Raw genomic sequence first — 22271 nt, forward strand, 5'->3', positions numbered from 1 at the left:
TAAAGGGTGATTTTCTCTTGTAAAGTGGCTTGAACCCCACAGCTATAGCACAAGCAAGCAGGGTCATCAAAAGCCACTCCATTCTTCTGGAAACTGCAGAGAAAGGGAACCCGGAAATCTGGTATGCCGGCACAGAGGGTATGAAATTCTTACCGGACCGGTTTGTGGTCTCTCTCTCTCTTTCTCAGTAAATAGTAAACTGTTTACCTCCTCTGCAAGGGTTTGATAAATGGAAAAAAGGATTTGTGAGACTAGTCTTAGGCTGTAGCAAATCTGGTGTAGTTTTGTGCTAAGAATTTGTCTTTCTGTGTTCTGTAGTGGATAGATGGGTGTCACAGGATAGAACGTGGGTTTAGGACCCCTATAAGCCTGCTTTTCAAGCCGGCTTGGCAGGCTGGTCAGTTACAAACTTTGCTACAGGTCCCTGAAGCCAATACTGTATGAAATTTCTCTGTCTTGTTTTGTGTCCTGAAGAGCTTAACTTTGTGACCATGTGGAGATACTTTCTCTTGGTTTCCACCATCTAGAAGACAGGAATTTGGGGATTTTTAGGTTAGCCCTAAGAATTTTCTTGAGCAGTTAAAAGCCTTTGCAAGCTTGAAACTGGCTTCTGTAGGCTCCTTCTGGGAAGCACAATAGAAACTGCTCAATACTGTGTAACTCAGTAGCTAAGGTTTTGCCTCTTGACAGTGGGGGGTCTGGGTTCTATTCCTGGCTTCTGGAATGATTCCCTTCTGGTTTTTTATTTCTGTAACTTTGCCATTTATTGAGGTTCCCGCGTCCCCCCGCTCCCATGAATAGCTTCTGATTTCCTGTCTTGAATTTTCCTTTCTCTAAACTACCCTGGGGGAGATTCTACATCTTGTAGAAAAAAAAACTGCTTACCATCTCTTTGAGACACCTGTGTGTCCATGGTTATAAACTTAGTTAAAACTTAATTTCAGGTGGGAAGTTACCTGTGGTAGAATTCAAAAGCCAAAAATATTGGCCGCTTGGCGTGGCTAAAGTTGGGTATAAAATTTTTAAGGGTTTTTTTTTTTTTTTAAAGAGCGCTATGGTTAAAAGTCAGCTTAATTAAAAGTGGATAAACAAGCTGTAGGTATATTTAAAAGGCCTTTATGTTTCTCTCTTCTTGGATCTTGTTTTTCTGGAAAAAGATTATTTTTCTGGAAAAAGGTCTTTTTTTCCTTCTCAGTCAACTGAATTATTTTCCTCCACTTTTTTGTTTTGCCTATCTTAATGTACACATGAGAGGCCCTGAGATAGCTTCTGGTAGCCTGGGACTCCTTGGGAAAAACAGGAGGCACCACAGACCCCGTTTTGGAAAAAAGCTCTGTTTTCCTCATGAAACCCCAAGAATTAAAAGCAGACAGATCCCTCTCAAAATCCAAGGCTCTATTCTGTTTTGCATTGTGTTATCTGACGGTTTTGAGTTTTAGGGGCATCAGAAATTACTTCTCATTCTGAGAGAGCTTTGGTGTATAACAACTAGGTAGGAAATATACTTTAGGAGTTGGCTAATAGTAGTTACGGAGGCATACTTGGCTCTTCGCACACTTGGATCAGAGAAGCATGCTTTGGCCACCTGGAAGACATGGAAACACCCCCCCGCCCCCCAACAGAGAGATGAGAATCCCATGGGGGATGGTCTAATTACAAATGGACTGATTGGCTTTGGGTTGCGTTGCAGTGAAATGCATAGTTGGTAAAAGCACTGCACTGTCTTCTCTCGAAGTATTTCCGTCCTCTTGGGATCCAGGATCCAGTGTAAAGCGGCACCCTTAATTTTAAGAATCCGTCTTTGCCTTCAGCTGCTTGTTTGGCCCTAGAAACACAAGCTTTCCTAGCCCTGTTCCTCCAGGGGCTCCACCCTGAAGCCAGTAATCCAATTAAGAAACTGGCAAACAAAAAATCTTACAGGTGCTGAATCTTCTCTCTGGTGTGTGATGTTTATATATAAAAGAGCTCTGATTAATTGCCTTAGAAAAATGAGCGCTTACATCACATATTTTGTCAGAAAAATAGAAATTTTAATGCCTTTTTATTCACATGACTTTAGTAATCTTTTGGAAATAAAGACAGTTTTAAAGATTTTTGGTAAAATAAAATGTCATGAAAATACAGACATTTGGTCTAAATTAAGATCAGATATCAGATTTGCTAAATGCTTTAAAGTCAAACTGTTCCTTTGACTTTTGAAAATCATTTGATTTACCTACTTTGGAGCATTAGGCTATAGATAAGGCCTGGGGACACATGGACAGCCATGCCCCTAGTTATGCTGAAAACAGTCAGGCCTTATCTTCACTTCTGTCTGGTGTCCTAGGCTCCATCCCTAGTATTAACTCACTTACTTATCCGGTTTTTCACTAAAATGAAAGTTGCTAAGAATTAACACTGTAACATGAAATTGAGATTACTGGAGAAACAGTTTTACATACAAGGTGTGTAAGGAAGGTGTTTTTTGGTAAAAGATTGTAAGAAGGCATAGGAATATGGCTTTTGTTAAAGGGAATGTAATTTTGTCTAGTTCAGAGGCTTTTAAAGATTGTCTTACCCTAAAACAGTAACGGAACAAAACTGAAGGTTTAAGCAAAGTGAAAAAGGTTTGTAAAGGGTGAATCTAAAAAAAATTCTGTGGGTATAAACCAGTTGGCTAAGAGCTGAAAGAAATTATTTAGCTTTTTTCTGTAGGTTAAAACATTAAAATCGTACTGATGTGGGGCCAGAATCTGGGCCCCTGTGTCCAAAATCTGGGCCCCTGTGTCCAAATCACAGGGTTTTCTTAGAAAACTGATCTGCTGTTTGATGGAAAATTGTAAAGGGTTCTATAAAGTTTATGAAAATCTTACCTTATGGTCAAAGTAATTAAAACTGGATATATAAAACTTTATTTAAAAAACTAGCTTTAGCATTAAAGATGCACATGAAATTTGGTTTTCTCTTTTGAAGATGATTTTTATGTAATGTTAAAAGATAATGAAAGGGTTTTGTTTTTTCCTTTGGATAAATGGCAGGGGAAAAAAAGGAGGAGAGAGAGAAGAGACAGATTCAGTTGGCCTCATGCTATCTTCATTGGATCTTCTTTGGAAAGGTAAGTCATCTGTATCACAGTAAAGGTTTTTCTTTTTCTTTAAATTGTTTTGGAGTTATCATTTTGGCCAAATGAATGACTTATGGTGACCTGGGATTCTATTTTGTGATATCCAGTGTTTTAAACCTTTGATATTTGACAGACTTTCCAAAATCAAATTATAAATTATGTCTCTTTCTAACTTAGTATTTTAGATATTAAGTCCTCTAAAGTCCAAAAATGACATTTGGCTTATTTGGTACAAAAATCATACAGGAAGCATTGTCAAATATAAAATGGTGTTCAGCTTTCTTTGGTCTATATTTGTGTAAATGTGTTATTGGTATATGTTCCAAAATTATGTAAAACTGCTATAATTCTAATATGACTTAGGATATGTTATCAGTAATAATTATAATTATTATGTTAAATGACTGTGTGCCACAGAGGTAAATGTCTTTGTCAATTGTGCCTTTAACAGTGGCTGCCCTAAAATGTTTTTGTCATCCACAGACAACTGTTGTCTCACTTTGGTCCTCTTTAAAAGATGATTTTATAATTGGCTAGAAAATTTAACAGGTGCTCTTAAATGCAGGTTTCTGATTAATAACTCTGGGAGACTGTGACATTAGAATAGAAAAAACCTTTCAAATAGAAGAGGGAATGGCGTTTGGTTTTCTTTGGGACTGTATTTGTATAAATATGTTATTGGTATGTGTTCCAAAATTATGGGAAATTTCTATAATGTTATAATTTAGTGTACATTATTAATTATTATAATGGTTATGTAAAATTGTTGTATGCCACAGAAGTAACCAAAATTCCTAGTCAATTGTAGCTTTAATAGTGGGTGTAGGCTTTTGCCATCCACAGACATTTTGTCTTGCTTTGGTCCTTTTCAAAAGGCAGTTTATATGTCAGATATAGGACTCTGAGTGCAGGTCTCAGATAACTTTAAAAATTGTGCTATTGGAATGGAGGAAAAAAAAACAAACTTCTAGGACTCTCATGGAGAGCTAATGTGTTAAACATTGCTAAACCTTTTGTTTTCAGAGTCGAGAGAACTTATTTCTTTAGAGCTATTTGCAGCTTCTAACAAGTGAGTAAAATATACTCCTGTGAACAAAATTTAGAGCATATTTGTTCCTCTCTACCTGATTTCTCCAGAATTTGGAAACTATTTGTGAATATTCTCAATTTATGGCAGTATAGTTAATTGCATAAGTGCAGTAAGAATCTGTTTTCTTTTGTAACAGAACACAATTGGAGAAATTGGTTATTTTACCAAGGCTTTGACTGGAATGGCATGCTTCCTTTAAAGAATCAAAGTTCACTTATAGAGCCAATTAAAGCCCATTGGGGAATCTGGCCTCATACCTTGTCCACACAGAGTGTCTGTGCAAGGTTCCTGACCTGTGGTAAGTAAAGAATGTCACTTTTTAACAGGCCCAGGAACTCCAAGTTATCTTGGGACTTCAAGAGGAAAGGAATTTTCAAATACCAACTCATAGGTATTTGAGGCTGGGCTCAGCTTTTTTTTTTTTTTTTTGAGACAGAGTCTAGTTCTGTCGCCAGGCTGGAGTTCGGTGGCTCAGTCTCGGCTCACTGCAACCTCCGCCTCCCAGGTTCAAACAATTCTCCTGCCTCAGCCTCCTGAGTAGCTGGGATTACAGGCATGCATCACCATGCCCAGCTAATTTTTGTATTTTTAGTAAAGATGGGGTTTCACCTTGTTGGCCAGGACAGGCTTGATCTCCTGACCTTGTGATCCACCCACTTCAGTCTCCCAGAGTGCTGGGATTACAGGCATGAGCCACCGCGCCCAGCCTGGGCTTGGCTTTTAAAAAGTCTTAGCTGAGATCCTTCATGGAACAGAGTTCTATCAGAGCCAATGAAAAAAGCCTAAGTGAAAAATAATTATTCTTGCTGCACTTTATGCAAATAATCAGGCCAAGTACAGTAAGACTAAAGTTTATTTTGTAAACAAATCGGTTCTATCATGGTTTGTTTTGAATAAAAATGGGGACTGGAGAGAGAAAAATTATGCTTCAAAAGAAAAACTATAGTATACAGTTGTTAGCTGGTCTTGAGGTTTTCTTGTGCAGTTTAGACTACACACTAAATTATTTGTGGGTTAGAAGTCCCCAGACTAATGCTTTCAAATCTTTACTTTTAAAATTGGGAATTGTACTCCTCAAACTAGGACTCATTATTTACCTTATAGCAGGCTGTTCACTTAAACACTGTAGTAAAACTATAGATGAGAGTACTAATGTGTTTGCCATGCAACTCTTGGAAACTCAACCAGGCCTGCATGAGTTGCTCAGACAGTTGCAAAGCAATTCCACTCTTCTCACCTTGGGGTTCACTCCCATTCCCATTACCTCCCCTGTCAGCAGGAAGAAGCCAGAGCTATCAACGGCCTTCTCCCATCTTCATAGCCTACCCAAAGGGAAGGATTGAAACCATCTTTGCAAAATTATGATTGAGACAGTGAAAGAGATCTAACTGAACGGATTGCATCTTGCTTCTAACCTCAAAGCTGTCCTTGTTCATTCCTGGGCATAAGCTGAACTAACTTTGGGAGAAACTTAGTTTATAGTTTACACAAAGACGGTAACAACCCTTTCCCAAAGCAGACCTCCTTCTTGCCTGGAGACTAGATTGCCTTTGTAGGACTAACATTAACCACAAGATTTGAAATCAGGTTTAGGAGTCATGCAGCTGGAGGATACAAGATTCTGACTTGCCCTAAACCGCTCCTAAGATCGGTGCTCGAGAGATTTTACAGACCCTGCACTTGATGGATCAGCTGGCACCACCCAGATCAGTAAACTGGCTCATCTGATCTTGTGGCCCCACCCAGGAAGTGACTCAGCACAGGAAGACAGCTTCTACTCCCTATGATTTCACCCCTGACCAATCAGCACTCCTGGCTCACTGGCTTCCGCCAACCCACCAAGTTATCCTTAAAAACTGTGCTCCCCAATTGCTTGGGGAGACTGATTTGAGTAATAATAAAACTCCAGTCTCCTGCAATAAATAAATAAATTAATTAAATAAAAATCATTTATGCTGTGCCTGGCCAGGTCTGGTGGCTCACGCCTGTAATCCCAGCACTTTGGGAGGCTGAGGCGGGTGGATCACTTGAGGTCAGGAGTTGGAGACCAGCCTGGGCAAGATGGTGAAACCCCGTCTCTACTCAAAATACAAAAATTAGCAGGGCCTTGTGGCGCACGCCTGTAATCCCAGCTACTCTGGAGGCTGAAGCAGGAGAATCGCTTGAACGCCGGAGGCGGAGGTTGCAGTGAGCCGAGCCAGATCGCGCCACTGCACTCCAGCCTGGGGGACAGAGTGTGACTCTCTCAAAAACAAACAACAACAAAAATCACTTATGGCGTGCCTGCTCCCTGGAAAGCACTGCCAGATATGTATTTGCTATTGCAGTGTCTATACGCAGTCACATGAAGATTTGGGCTAAAAGACACACTACCTTAAAAGTTTCACATTCTTTCTGGCAAATTGGATTTTTCTTTTTCTTTCCTTCCTCCTTCCTTCCTTCTTTTTTTCTTTTAATTGGCAACTCAGATTTTTCGAAGTGTTTTTGCTATCTCACTGCTGGAAAGCCTGGTTCTGCCTTTCCTAAAATCTCGTGTGCAGGTTCGCACTCCGGCTACTTTCAGGCCTCTAGGGAGCCCAGGTAGCGGCGCGCACGCGCACGCGCACACTTCTCCCTCGCTGGTCTTCAGGCCCGGCCCGCCCTGTCCAGAGGCGCCGGGACCCAGGCGCCTGCAGCCGCCCGCCGGGCCGACGTCCCACGGGAATGCGCGAGGCCTGGACGGGAGTGGCCGAGGCGGTTGGGCGGAGGCGGAGCAGGCGCCATGTCAGCCCGGGAAGTGGCCGTGCTGCTGCTGTGGCTGAGCTGCTATGGCTCCGCCCTTTGGAGGTAGAGAGACGCCAGTCGCAGGCGAGCGACTAGGCGGGGATTACCCCCGGCGGGGCAGGCGGGAGGGTCCTGCTCTCCACCCCATGCGCCTCGGGACCGCTCGCCCTGGCCGACCACTGCCTCGTCTCCTGGCTCCCCAACACCAGCCCCAGTGTCCCACCGCTCCCACCCGAGAGTTTTCCATGAGCGAGAGGGGACGCAGTTAGCACTTTGCTACCCTGCTCCAGCTCCTGCAGTAAGGTCGCAGTACCTTCATGCTGCTGTCCTCAGAACATCTGAGCCCCAATGAAATCTTACTTTTTTGTTTGTTTAGGGCGGGGGTTGTCTGTTTGTTTTAGAGACGGCCTCTTGCTCCGTTGCCCAGGCTGCAATGCAGTGGCGCCATCATAGCTCCCTGAAGCCTGAAACTCCTGGGCCCAAGCGCTCCTCGCACCTCGGCCTCCTAAATAGCTGTGACAACAGGCACGCGCCACCACGCTTGGCTAAATTAAAAAAAAAAATTGGTAGAGACAGGGTCTCACAATATTGCCCAGGCTGGTCTCGAACTCCTGGCCTTAAGTGATCCTCCTGCCGGGGCCTCCCAAAGTGCTGTAATTACAGACTATGAGCTCTGAGCCATGAGCTATCGCGCCCCGGCCCCTGTGAATTCTTACATTCCTCTCACCTTGTGCAGCCTTCTTTTGCCAGAGGAGAGGATCGTTGTGGTCCAAGAGTGAGATATAACAGTGCCCTTTTCATTAAAAAATAGCACATGTCCATCTGCACACCCCACACACCTATGGGCCTCTTAGATCTGTTTCCAACAAGAATACATTAAATATAAGACATAATTAATAAAGCAAGGATGAAAAGGTATTATCGTTGTTATCTGGGACTAAATTAATAAATTAAACGTGACTCTTTGAGCTACTGTTCTCTCCCTAGCCTATCCTTAGCCCCAGTAGGAGTGAGAAGCTGTTGAGGGAGCAGGTGAGGAGAAAAGGCCTGCCAGGAAAGGTCATTTCATCCTTTCACTACCAGATCTTATTAAATTACATAATTTAACTTTGTAAATTAAAGTACAAAATTTGCCACTTGTATTTTTCTCTCTGTATTGAAAGGGATCTTAGATTCATAAGAAGTGTGAGGTGGTTCACACTTCAAAAAAAGCCTTTGATGACAATAGATTTCATTTTTATTTATAGGTATATGTAAAATACATGACTTTTTTTTAATTCGATCTGTATATACAGAAAATGTGTTTCATTATAAAGGTGACTGATTTCCGTTAAACATAAGAATTCAGAGTGCTATTAAGGCTTGTATAATTCTGATAAGGGAATTGCATAATGATATCCTAGCAACTCTTCCTCTACATACAGAAAAAAGGCCTCTGATTTAAAGCTTTAGGGATGGAGCAATTCCAGTTGCAATTAGGTATGCAATGTAGACATGGAATAGATTCTTGAAGCAAATGGAAGGCGAAGGAATTGTAGGGTGGTGATTTATGATAGTCACCAGCTACATGTGCCTTTTGAGTATTTGAAATATAGCCCAAATTGAGATGTGGTGTAAGTGTAATGTACACACCAGATTTCAAAGACTTAGTCTGAAAAAAGAATGTAAGATATCTCAGTAATAATTATTTTATACTGATTACATGTTGAATAAAACTTAAAATTAATTAATTTTAAGTTTAATTTGTTTAGTTTTAATTAAAAGCTAAAAATTATTAAAATTAATTTCACCCATTTCTTCTTGTGCTTTTAAAGTAGCTACTTGAACATTTTTAATTAATAGGAGGTGGCTTGTATTATATTGGACAGTGCTCTGTTAGATGAATCAGATAGACGGGAATTAAGAACCCTCCATCGCAGCAACATGGCAAAACCCTGTCTTTACTAAAAAATACAAAAATTAGCTGGGCGTGGTGGCATGCGCCTGTAGTCCCAGCTATTCGGGAGGCTGAGGCGAGAGGATCACTTGAGCCTGGGAGGTCAAGGCTGCAGTAAGCCAAGATCACTGCACTGTACTCCAGAGCAAGACCCTGTCTCAAAAACAAAAAAAAAAGAGAAATACTGCGTTTTTAAAACTCCAATCTTTGTTATTCTTACTTTAACTCTTTATAAGTGAAGGAGTTAGAGCCAGTGTTCTTCAAGAGTTTTCATCTTACAAAAAAAAAAAAAAAACCAGGTAAAGAGTATTAACTTCTCATTTTATTGTCTTTAGATACTGAGCAAACCCTAACACATCTAGAGATGTGGGTAGAGGTCACTGATAGCCCCAATTTTAGCCCTGAGTTGCTGTCAAGGAAGGGAATGAGGCAGAAAGGTGACACTCCTGGCAGCCCAGCTATGCCCTGACCATGTAGAGAATCCTCATATTTGAAGAATAAATTAGTTTTAATATTTATACTTGGCCTCTTCCTCCACAGGTATTCCACTAACAGCCCAAACTATCGCATTTTTAGTACCAGAAGTACTGTAAGTGTTGAATTTTTAATAAACTATAGTTAAATATTAAATTTTTTGAACTTTAGAGCAGAGAGCAGAGTTAATCATATTGAGTTTTACAGTCATTGTCACTCTTCTGTTTCGTTTCTTTCATCCGGTGTATTACCCTAACATAGGTCCCCTCCTTAATCCATGTCCTTAAATTTGCATGTAGCAAAAATAGTGTTGTTTTGAGTGTTTTCGTGATTCACTGTTCACAATGTGATGTTATTATATAGGTAGGATAACCATTCAGTATATTGCCTAAACCCATGAGAATGGGAGTGCTATTAATAATTATACAACAGGTATAAATTAGAACTGTCTAGACAAATCAGGATGTATGGTCACCCAAACTATAGACCTCATTCTCTATATTACTTTTCTTATTCAACACTTTCTACTTCATTTCTTCTTATCTGCCTAATTACTGGTGTAAATCAATTATATTTTATATACCCCTATTGCTGGACATATAGCTTCCTACCATCACAAACAATACTGGAATGAGTGTCCTCTATAGGTCCTTTTATGTATCTGTGTATCTGTGCAATCATTTTCCTGCTATATGTAGCCAAATAGAGTTGCCTGGCCATGGGAAATACACTTAATTTAACAAAGTTCCGCAAGATTGTTTCCCGAATGGCAGTTACAATTTATATTCTCACTCAATGTACATCTTCACCAAAATTTGGTGTTATTAAATTTCCTATTTTTTTTTTACCAATCTCATTATTATCCAGTGATAGCTATTGCTGTTGTTATTTTCAGTTTCTTTGATGACTAGTGATTTTGAGCATCTCTTCGCATATTATGTAGGCTTCTCCTTCTATTACCTGTTCATACCCTTTGCCTATTTTTCATTTAATTTTCTGCCTTTTTCTTACTCGTTAACACAGTGCTATCTACATTGCGTTGTAAAAATTAATCAAATGTTGGTTTCAAAGATTCAGTTATCTCAAGTTTCTGTTAACTTTGTTCATGGATACTTTACTGAAAAAAAAAAAAGCTGAATTTTGATGAGCCAAATCTCTCCCCTCCTTTGCCTTATGATTTAAACTTTTGGAGGCTCCTTTTTTTTTTTTTTGGAGACAGAGTCTCACTCTGTCACCCAGGCTGGAGTGCAGTGGTGCAATCTTGGCTCACTGTAACCTCTGCCTCCCGGGTTCAAGCGATTCTTCTGCCTCAGCCTCCTGAGTAGCTGGGACTACAGGTGCACACTACCATGCCCGGCTAATTTTTGTACTTGTAGTAGAGATGGGATTTCACCATATTGGCCAGGCTGGTCTTGAACTCCTGACCTCGTGATCCACCAGCCTCGGCCTCCCAAAGTGCTGGGATTACAGGCCTGAGCCACCGCGCCTGTCCAGGGCTCTTATTTAATAAAAATATTTGCTTACCCTGAACTGAAATGTTTTTATAATTTTAGTTTATATTTCTTATATTTTTACCTTTAAAATATAGGTCATAAATCCATCTAGAGTCTGCCTTGTATATAGTACAATAGGCATTCACATTACTTTTTTCACATAATGAACCAGAATCTATTAAACAACTCACTGTTCCCCTATTACCTTTCTCATGTCACCTTTGTTCCGTATGTAGATGAGTTGTTTGTGAACTTTCTTATTTGTCCTGGTGCCAATTCTACACTCTCTTAACTGCTATAGCTTTCTAATGAGTCTTCGGATCTGGTCCTGTGAACATCTAGTTTGTTCTTCCACAAGACTACTTTGGCTATTTGCGTTTTTATATAAATTTTAGAATAAGGCTGTTAGTTTTCACAAGCAAAAATCTGCTGAGATTTTGATTGGGATTGCACTTGGGGAGAACTGACATTGTTATCATAGTAACTGGTATCATTATGATATTGAATCTTCCAATTCATGAAGAATGATGTAGCCCTCCAGAGTTGATCTCATTATCTTCTTCCTAACTTTAGTAGATTTCTTCCAACATCTCCCAATTAAACAGATGCTCCCTTTTGGGCAGAGAGAGATACATTTCATTAAATTAACTAAGTATTCATTGGTTCCTAATTTATTGAATATGGTAAAAAATAGTCGCTATAAGTGATACTTATAGTGAATTGTGAAATGCCTTTTCACAGTCTACAGAAAAAAGTTTTTGAGTTTTCTCAGACTTGTTATCATAGTGAATCATATTAACATATTCACTTTTATTGTATCATCCTTGGATTTTGGGAAAACCCCACACGGTACCAATGTAGTAGTTCAATATGCTCTCAGGGACTATTGTTAATATTTTATATAAGATTCTTTTATCAATATTCATACATGAGTTTGCTCCACAGCAGTTATCTCAGTGGGGATGCCACTGAAATTTTGAGCAGGAAAAATTTTCATTGTATGGAACTATCCTTTGCTTTGCAGAACAGCTTGCTTCCCTGGTTCCCAAACACTAAGTAGCAGTGACAATCCTCAGGGATTGTGTGACCTGAGATACTCTTCCATATTTCCAGATGCCCTCTAAGGCAGGCAGAATCCAGCCAGTACACACTTGGGTAGCATGCTGCCTGGTATTCGCTTGGAACTGTCAGTGTCTGTGCTGTACAACTTGTTAAACACTTGTCATATTATCCCTGTCTTTAAGGGAGCGTGTAGCAGTCAGGGGTCAGAGGACAGCAGTAACCACTCTAGATATTTCAAGCAGAAATTTATTTGCTACAGGAAATTAGGTGCTCACCAAACTGTTGGGAGGGCTAGGAAAGCAAGGGTCTTAGAAACCCCCACTAATTTTTAGGTTTATCAATAGTCAAAAAGTTGCTGTTGCCACCAGAGATCAGGACCTGGAGGAAATAGGTGCCCATGTCACAAGTCTCTCCCAGTACCTAATGAGGGATGGTGCTCAATGGAAAGATGGGACAGAGGCCTTCCCCAAAACCACCTATCTTTGAAGCCTGGACTTTTGGTACCACTGCCTGAGGAAGAAGAATGGCTTCCTCTTTTTTACAAGTTCCAGTCCACATCTGATTTTCAGTCGTTCAGAACCCTTGAGGGTTCCTGGTTTCCAGCTCCTGCAATCTAGGGATAGCCTAGAGTTATGCAGGAATGAATGATCATGGCTGAGAATACAATACACAACAGTCAATTCCTAGCACTGTGTGGTATCACTCGTAAATTAGAATCAGGAGTCTTTAGTTAATTTTTACTAAATAACTCAACAATTTCTGTTGTGTTTTCTATCAGTGTTGTGCTCCCTTTATAAATAAATAAATATTTATAATTTGAACCAGGCCCAGATGGTTTTGTGTGGGAATTCTACCAAATCTTTAAGAAGCACATCATTTCAGTATTGTTTAAATTTTTCTAAAGTATAAAAAAGAAAGGAGGAAAAGACCTAAGGGGATATTTCACAAAAAAGGATGTACAAATGACCAGCAAACTTATGAAAAATTAGTGAAGTGTGAATTAAAATTACAGGGAGATGTAATTACAAACCAATCAGAATGCCTAAAATTAAGAAGACTGAAGATAACAAGGGGTGGTAAGAATGTAAAGCAGTAGGAACTCTAATACACCACTAGAAGGAATGCAGGTTGGTATAACCACTTTGAAAACCTGTTTGCTATTATCCAATAGTGTTGAATATATACGTATCCTGTGACACACTAGTTTGACTCCTAGGTATACATCCAGCACCAGAAGACCTATGTAGGAACGGTTACGACAGCATTATTCCTAAGAACTCCAAACTAGAAACAACCCAGTAGCATGTCAATCAGTAGTATAGAGGGATAAATGCATTTCTGTGTATTCACATAGTAGGATACTATATGGCAAATGAAAATAAGTGCATTGTGTCTACATGTCAACACAAAACAATATGGATGAATCTCACTGTACTCTGTGAAAGTAGCCATACAGAAAAGAACACATTCTGTATAAACTTTATAATATTCCATACCAGGCAAGAGGAATCTATGTAATATATATTTTCTTTTACAATTGTGTTTTCAAATTTATTGCTATTCATTTGTTTATAATCTTTGCTTACCATTTCAATATCTATTTTTAGCTATTTTATGTCTCTAATAGAGTTTATTTGGGCACTTTATCTTCCTTTCCTGGACAGTTTTGCCATGTATTGGACCATTTTATTGTTTTTTTTTTTTCTTTTTTCTTTGAGACAAAATCTCGCTCTGTCACCCAGGCTGGAGTGCAGTGCGCAATCTTGGCTCACTGCAACCTCTGCCTCCCAGGTTCAAGCAATTCTTCTGCCTCAGCCTCCCGAGAAGCTGGGACTACAGGTGTGTGCCACCACGCCCGGCTAATTTTTTGTATTTTTAGTAAAGACGGGGTTTCACCATGTTAGCCAGGATGGTCTCAATCTCCTGACCTCATGATCTGCCCAGCTTGGCCTCCCAAAGTGCTGGGATTACAGGCGTGAACCACCACACCCAGCCTTATTGGTCTTTTTAAGAATCATCTTTTTTATCTCGATTTTCCATTATTATTTTTATGTAGGTGGCAGAAATGGTCCATCTTTAATTCATAAATGACCACCAAAACAGCTATGTCATTTTAGAAATGCAAATTGGACCCTAGAGTTTGATTATCAGCAAGAAAGGTAGATAAAGGGCAAGAGAGTAATATTACAAAACCAATGATATTGCAGCTGATTTGAAAGTGATATTAAGAGAAAGGAAGGGGCCTAGTGTTGTGGCTTATGCCTGTAATCCCAGCACTTTGGGAGGCCAAGGCAGGTGGATCTCTTGAGCCCAGGAGTTTGAGACTAGCCTGGGCAACATGGCCAGACCCCATCTCTACAAATAATAATAAAATATTAGGGCATGGTGGTGCATGCCTATAGTCCCAGCTACTTGGGCGGCTGAGGTGGGAGAATTGCTTGAGCCTGGCAGGGAGAGGCTGCAGTGAGCTATGATCATGCCACTGCACTCCAGCCTGGGTGACACAATGAGACCCTGTTTCAGAGAGAGAGAGAAAGGAAATATTGAATGTACAGAATACCAGAGATTTTCCGTGACTCTTCTTGATGAAAAGCATGTCTAAAAAATCCTTCTCTACTCTGTGTAAATTGAAACAGTGCATCAGTTTTCTGTTTAGATAATACCAAGTCACTTAAACATGAAGTTGGTAAGCATAGTGGGAACTTTCTGCAGGGACTTGACTACATTTAAGTTAATCATTGGGGAGGTTTATATGTAAGCTTGGTAATTTCCACAGAATTTGTTCTCTGTTTTGAACTTACATCTTTGAAACTTTTATTAGTAAAACATTTAAATATACATAAAATATATAAATTAGTATAATTTAGACATACATAAAAGTATGGAGTACATATAAGGAATACATATAAGTACATAAAAGTATGGAGTACATATAAGGAGATTAAGTCCTTATATATCCATTACTCAGCTCCAGTATTACAGCTCATGGCCATTCTTGTTTCATTGACTTTATCACCCACTTTCTTCCCTTCTGAATTATTTTGAAACTATCCCATACATATCCTTTCATCCATACATATTTCAGTGTGTACCTTTAAATGATAAGACTCTTTTTAAAAATGACCAGAGCCAGGGCAATAATGCAAGAAAATGAACTAAAAGGCATCCACTTTGGAAAGGGGAAGATAAACTATTTCTATTTGCAGACGACATGATCCTTTATATAGGAAGCCCAAGGAATCTAACAAAAAACTATTAGAACTAATAAATTATCTTAACAATTTCTTATGGCAATTCATAGGAAATTGTAAATGGAAATTCAAGAGTACCAGAATAGACAAAACAGTCTTGAAACAGAAAAAGTGGAAGGACTCACAGTTCTTGACGTTTATACAATTGGTCATTTGAATACTAAGCTTACTACAAAGCTGCAGTAATTGAGACACTTTGGTACTGACATAGGATAGGAATATACATCAATGAGATAGAATTGAGAGTTCAGAAATAAAACCTCATATTTACAGTCAGTTGATTTTTGATAATGATACCAAGAGAATTGAATGGAAAAAGAACGGTACTGAAACAACTAGATACCTACATGAAAAAAATGAATGTGGACCCCACCTCAGACCACACCCAAAATTATAACTCTGAATGGATCAAAGACCTAAATGTAAGAGCTAAAACTGTAAAACATATAGAAGAAAACATAAGGGAAAATCCGTGACCTTGGATTAGGTGATGGTTGCTCACAAGCACAAGCAACAAAAGAAAAAATAGATAAATTGGACATCATCAAAATTAAAGTCTTTTGTGCTTCTAAGGACATCATCAAGAAAGTGAAGACAATTCACAGGATGGGAGAGAAATTTTGTGATTCATGTATCTTATTATGGACTTGTTTTTAGATATATAAAGAACTACTATTGATATAATTTGGTAATAAAAATACAACCCAGTTTTTTAAATGGGCAAAGGATCTGAATTGTCATTTCTCCAAAGAAGATATCCAAATGGCCAATAAGCACATCCCCATCAGGGAAATGGAAATCAAAACCATAATAAGATACTACTTCGCACCCGCTCAGATGTCTATAATCAAAAAGACAGATAATAACAAGTGTTCGTGGGGATGTAGAGAAATGGGAACTCTTATATTGCTGTCAAATGTCAAATGGTGCAGGCACTTTAGAAGACAGCCTTGTAGCTCTTCAAACAGTTAAACATAGTGTTACCAATATGTTCTGAAGATTGCACTTCCAGTTTTACATCCAAGAGAAATGAAAATATAATGTCCACACAAAAACTAGTACATGAATGTTCACAGAAGCATTATTCATAATAGCCCCCAAGTGCAAACAATGCAAATGTTCATCAACTAAGGAAAGGATAAATAAAATGTAGTATGTTTATATAATGGAACATTACTTGTCAATAAAAATGAATGAAGTACTTTTATGTGCTACAATATAGAAAAGCCTTGAAAACATTATGCTAAGTGCAAGAAACCTTTCACAAAGGACCACATGTTGTATGATTTCATTCACATGAAATGTCCAGAATAGGCAAATGTATAGAGACAGAAAGTAAGTTAGTGCCTGCCTAGGGCTGGGAGATAGGGCTGGGGTGGTAACCTCCGAGGAGTGTGGCAGTTTTTTTGTGGAGTGTTGAATATGTTCTAAAATCGATTACAGTAATAGTTGCAGAAGTATATGAAGATACTAAAAACCATTGTACACTTTAAATGAATGAATTGTATGACGTGAATTATATCTCAAAGTTGTTTAAAAAACCATAACCGTAATACTAATTAGCACACCTAAAAATTAATAATCATTCCTTAATGTCATCAAATATCTAGTCAGTATTCAAATGACCAGTTGTCATATAAATGTCATTTTCTGTTTGTTTATGTAAATCAAGATCCAGATAAGGTTTATACATTATGATTATATATTTCTTTAGTTCCTTTTGTAAAAGGCAAATTAATTGAGGTAATTACATACAATGAAATTTACTCCTTTTAAGCATATAGTTTGATGACCTTTGGCAATGCATACAGTTGCGTTATCACCGTAATAATGAAGATATACAACATTTACCTCACCCCAAAAAGTTTCATCATGCCCTTTGCAGTCATGCTTTACCTTCCCCATCTCAGCCATTGGCAGCCACGAATCTATTTCCTGATCCTATAGTTTTGCATTTTCTAGATAGTCATAGAAACAAAACCATACTATATATAGTCTTTTGGGGTCAGTTTTCTTTCACTTGGCTTAGTGCTTTCAGATTCATCCATAATGTTGCATATATGAGAACTTCATTCCTTTTTATTGCTGAGTATTCATTTGCATTCTTATGCCACCATTTGTCCATTCTCTTGTTGATGGCCATTTGGGTTATTTCCAACTTAGAGCTATTTCAGATGAAACTGCTGTGGACATTCATGTACATATGTGGGGACATATATTTTTATTTTGGTTAAATACCTAGGAATGGGATTACTGTGTTATAAGGCAATGATATGTTTATAGCAAATAAGAAACTACACAACAGTTTTCTTCTTTTTCTTTTCTTTTCTGAGACAGACTCTAACTCTGTTGCCTAGCGTGGTGTGTGTGGCACGATCATGGCTCACTGCAACCTCAAACTCCTGGACTCAAGTGATCCTTCCGCCTCAGCCTCCTGAGTAGCTGGGACTGCAGGCATGCACCACCACACCCAGCTAATTTTATTTTATTTTTATTAGAGACAAGGTCTTACTATGTTGCCCTGGCTGGTCTCAAACTCCTGAGCTCAAGCAGTCCTCCCATCTCAGCCTCTGAAAGTGCTAGGATTACAGGCATGAGCCACTGCACCTGGCCCACGACTGTTGTTTGAAGTAGGTGTACCATTTGCATTCCCATGAGCAGCAGAGGAGAGTTCTCATTGTTCTGCATATTGAATACATTTTGGCTTGAATTCTACCTTATCTAATATCAGAGTCACAATTCCTGCTTTTATATTGATTTTTTTTTGACAGGACCATTTTCCTGGTATACCTTTGCCCATGGCTTTTAAAAAATTTTTTAAGAGTTAACAGACTTTATTTTTAGAGCAGTTTTAGGTTCATAGAAAAATGGGCAAACAGTATAGAGAGATCCCATAAAACCTCCCCAGTTTGCCCTATTACTGACATCTTGCATTAGTGTGCTACATTTCTTACAATTGATGAGCCAATATTGATACATCATTATTAACTATAATCTGTAATTTACATTAGTGTTCACTCTTTGTGTTGTACATTATGTGAGCATGGACAAATGTTTAATGACATGTTTCTACCATTATAGTATCACACCGAATAGTTTCACTGCCCTAAAAATTCTCTCTGCTCTGCCTTTTCAATCCTCCCCCTCCCCAGCCCCTTACAACACTGATCTTTTAACTGTCTCCATAGTTTTGCCTTTTCCAGAATGTCATTTAGTGGGAATCAAACAGTATGTAGCCTTTTCAGATTGGCTTCTTTCACTTAACAATACACATTTAAGTTTCCTCCATGCCTTTTCATGGCTTGATAGCTCGTTTCATTTTAGCACTGAGTAATACTCTATTGTCTGGATGTACTATAGTTTATCCATTCACCTAGTGAAAGATATCCCAGTTGCTTCCAGTTTGGGCAATTACAGATAAAGCTGCTGCAAACATTCATGGACAGGTTTTCGTGTGGACCCCATTTGGGTGAATACCAAAAGTGCAATTGCTAGATATATGGTAGGAGTATGTTTAGTTTTGTAAGAAATTGCCAAACTGTCCTCCAAGATGGCTGTACCGTTCTACATTGTCACCAGCAATGAATGACAGTGCTGTTGCTCCACATCTTCACCAGCATTTGGCGTTGTTAGTGTTTTGGATTTTTGCAATTCCAATAGGTGTGTTGTGGTATCTCGTTGCTTTAATTTGCAGTTCCCTAATGACATACGATGTGGAGAGTCTTTTCATATCTTTGTCACCTGTATATTATCTTTGGTGAGGTGCCTGTTCAGATCTTTTGCCCATTTTTAAAGATGGGTTTTCGTTTCCTTGTTGTTGAGTTTTAAGAGTTTTTTTGTGTATTCTGGATACCATCTTTTATCAGATATGAGTAACTTTGCAAATATTTTCTCCCAGTCTGTTGCTTGTCTTTTCATTCTCTTAACAGTGTCTTTTACAGAGCAGAAGTTTTTAATTTTAATGAAGTCCAATTTATCAACCTTTTTTTTTGATTTGTGCTTTTTGTGATGTATCTAAGAAGTTGTTGGCAAACCCAAAGTCACCGAGGTCTTCTCTCATTACTTTAGTCTTTCTGGGTCACTTTTTTCTTCTGGTATTTCTTTCGAACAGCATGTATTGGGTCTTGCTGTGTGAGTTAAGCCCATTCACATTTAATTATATAACATATCTTTGGTCTCAATTCTCATATTAGTTTATCTTAGGTGTGTTGTATTTACTGTTTCTTTCTCTGTTGGATTCTTTTCTTTAAAAAAATTATCTTTCTATATTTAGAAACGTTTGTATTTTTGTTTTAGTGGCTACCTTTGTGCTTATACCTTTCGAACATCTTTGGTGCCCTGCTCTTTTATTTACTCTTTTACTGCCTGGTTTCTTTCTTTTTTTTGCTTTTTTTTTGTTTTTGAGATGGAGTCCCGCCCTGTCACCCAGACTGGATTGCAATGGCGTGATCTCGACTCACTGCAACCTCCGACTCCCAGGTTCAAGCAATTCTCTTGCCTGAGCCTCCTGAGTAGCTGGGATTACAGGCGCCCACCACCAAGCCTGGCTAATTTTTTTGTATTTTTAGTAGAGACGGGGTTTTTACCATGTTGGCCAGGGTGGTCTCGAACTTGTGATCTCATGATCTGCCCACCTCAGCTTCCAAAGTACTGGGATTATAGGCGTGAGCCACCGCACTCAGTTTACTGCTTAACAACCAGGCAATGATCTTATTCTACTTTCCTTTTTCATTCTCTCCCATATTTTTTAGTCAATGATTTTATTCTATTTTCAATGATCTTCTTCTATGTTCATTCCAATTTTTCAATTTCATGTATTATTCTTTAATTATAGAATATTACTATATTCTATAATTGTTCTTTGATTATATTTGATCAAATATTTGATTATATTGTTTTTATTATCAAATATTTGATTATATTGTTCTTTGATTATATTTACTGTTATTGCTCTGTTCCAAACATTTTGGTTTTCCTCTTCAGGATCTCTGGATATATGTATATTGGATTTTCTGTGCCTATCTTTCATATTTGTTGCTTAGTCTTAAATCACTTAATCATTTTTTAATCCCTTCTTTTTTTTCTTCTTCTTTTTTTTTTTTTTTTTGGAGACAGGGTTTTGGTCTTGCTCTGTCATCCAGGCTAGAGTGAAGTGATGCAGTCACAGTTCACTGCAGCCTTTAACTCCTGGACTCAAGCGATCCTCCCACCTCAGCCTCCCAAGTAGCTGGGACTACAGGTGTGTGCCACCACACCCAGCTAATTTTTTAATTTTTTATAGAGAGGGGTCTCCCTATGTTGCTCAGGCTGGTCTTGAACTCCTGGGCTTAAGTGAGTTTTATTATTGATTATTGTCCAGTGCTTTTGGGGACTATCCTAATTGTTCTTTCTGTGTTTATTAGGAAATTTAAATAAATTTTTAAAACTACATCCCCAAAGCCCCTTCCCAATGCCCTTTCATTTGTTTTATAAATTTCTATTTTTTCTCTTTCTTATATCCTTCCTTTTATTTGGGGAGATTTTCTCTGTTGTCCTTTTATTATCATCTTACACTGAAAACAGAGTTTATTCACTTTCAAATTATCTTATCTAGAGACTTTTTTTTTTTTTCTGTCTCACTCTGTTGCCCAGGCTGGAGTGCAGTGGTATGATCTCGGCTCACTGCAACCTCCTTCTCCTGGGTTCAAGGGATTCTCCTGCCTCAGCCTCCTGAGTAGCTGAGATTACAGGTATGTGCCACCATGCCTGGGCAATTTTTGTATTTTTAGTAGAGACAGGGTTTCACTATGTTGGCCAGACTGGTCTCGAACTCCTGGCCTCAAGTGAGCTACCTGCCTTGGCCTCCCAAAGTGCTGGGATTACAGGTGTGAGCCACTGCACCTGGCCACAATTTTTTTTTTTTTTTTTTGAGACGGAGTCTCACTCCGTCGCCAGGCTAGAGTGCAGTGGCGCGATCTCAGCTCACTGCAATCTCTGACTCCCTGGCTGAAGCGATTCTCCTGCCTCAGCCTCCTGAGTAGCTGGGATTACAGGTGCGCACCACCACGCCTAGCTTATTTTTGTATTTTTAGTAGAGATGGGGTTTCACCATGTTGGCCAGGATGGTCTCGATCTCCTGACCTCGTGATCTGCCTGCCTCAGCCTCCCAAAGTGCTGGAATTACAGGCGTGAGCCACCACACCCGGCCATACCACAAATTTTTATAATATTAAATGCTTTTACTGTTTATTCATAAACATTTTATACTTTATGACTTTTGCTTATGAATCATTTAGAAGTACAGTTTTTTGTTTGTTTGTTTTTTTAAAGACTCCAAATATCTTAGGATTTTTTTCTGGCTAACTTTATGAGAAATTCTAATTTTATTTCACTAATATCAAAGGGCATTGTATATGTGATAGTAACTCTTCAAGATTGGTTACAACTTTCCTTGTAAATGTGGTCAGTTTTGGTAATTGTTCTATGTGAGCTTGCAAATGATGTATATATTTTATATTGCTTAATTTTAGGGGCCGGGTACAGTGGCTTATGCCTGTAATCCCAGCACTTTGGGACGCTGAGGTAGGAGGACTGCTTGAGGCCATGAGTTTGAGACAAGCCTGGTCAACACAGTGAGATCCTGTCTCTATTAAAGAAAAGTAAAAAGAAAAAACTTTAGGAATGTATATAGTTTTAACATATATATCATAAACTTACTAATTATATTTTTTAAGTCTTTGACTACCTTTCCCTCCCCTCCCCAAGTTTATTTAGTTTGAGAAAAATGTATTATAAAATCTACCACTATATTTATGGCTTTTGAAATTTCTTGTAGCAGTTCTATCAAATTTTGCTTATTATATTTTAAAGTTATGTTGTATCTTCTCATGAATTTTTCTCTTTTTTCTTCTTATACACTATCCTATAATATCAAATCTATGAAACGGTTTACCACCAGTTATAATCTCCATTTTCCGAGTTAAAACACCAAAGCAATCTTCATATATTATGTATGTGTATATAATTTTGTGTCACAAATATTAGAAGGTAAAATTGAGTTACAACTCTGGCTGAAGAAGAGGATCAGTGTTAAAACTAAGACTGACAATGTTAGAAAGTG

General features: G+C 38.6%; 1 protein-coding gene across 21 annotated transcripts in view, besides 2 other annotated features; it reads left to right on the top strand.

Annotated features, from left to right (window-relative positions):
* The window catches only part of CATSPERE (catsper channel auxiliary subunit epsilon), a 189263-nt gene that overhangs the window by 3234 nt on the left and 163758 nt on the right, over nt 1–22271 (top strand). For 13 of the 21 annotated variants that reach the window (XR_001737095.2, XR_001737096.2, XR_001737099.2 and 10 more), the window contains exon 2: nt 3018–3094. Coding sequence is in view for 14 of the 21 variants with exons in the window: in XM_011544138.3 (XP_011542440.1) it covers nt 3018–3094 (77 nt within the window). In the remaining 7 variants the exon portion in view is untranslated. Of the gene's footprint in view, nt 1–3017; nt 3095–6797; nt 7020–8187; nt 8273–9432; nt 9482–22271 lie in introns of those variants that run through there. The other 8 variants (NM_001130957.2, NM_173807.5, XM_017000945.3 and 5 more) reach the window with 4 other exon arrangements.
* Nucleotides 5225–6424: an enhancer, noted in NCBI's record as "BRD4-independent group 4 enhancer chr1:244623002-244624201 (GRCh37/hg19 assembly coordinates)". NCBI's record gives its function as "activates an origin of replication core promoter dependent on BRD2, P300/CBP, MED14 and CDK7 cofactors, and independent of BRD4, by STARR-seq in HCT116 cells {active_cell/tissue: HCT116}" and the evidence as "EXISTENCE:reporter gene assay evidence [ECO:0000049][PMID:35650434]".
* Nucleotides 6699–7048: a silencer, noted in NCBI's record as "silent region_2015". NCBI's record gives its function as "represses an Ori minimal core promoter by ATAC-STARR-seq in GM12878 lymphoblastoid cells {active_cell/tissue: GM12878}" and the evidence as "EXISTENCE:reporter gene assay evidence [ECO:0000049][PMID:35858748]".

Source organism: Homo sapiens, chromosome 1 (genome assembly GCF_000001405.40).
Source record: "Homo sapiens chromosome 1, GRCh38.p14 Primary Assembly".
Classification (NCBI taxonomy): Eukaryota; Metazoa; Chordata; class Mammalia; order Primates; family Hominidae; genus Homo; species Homo sapiens.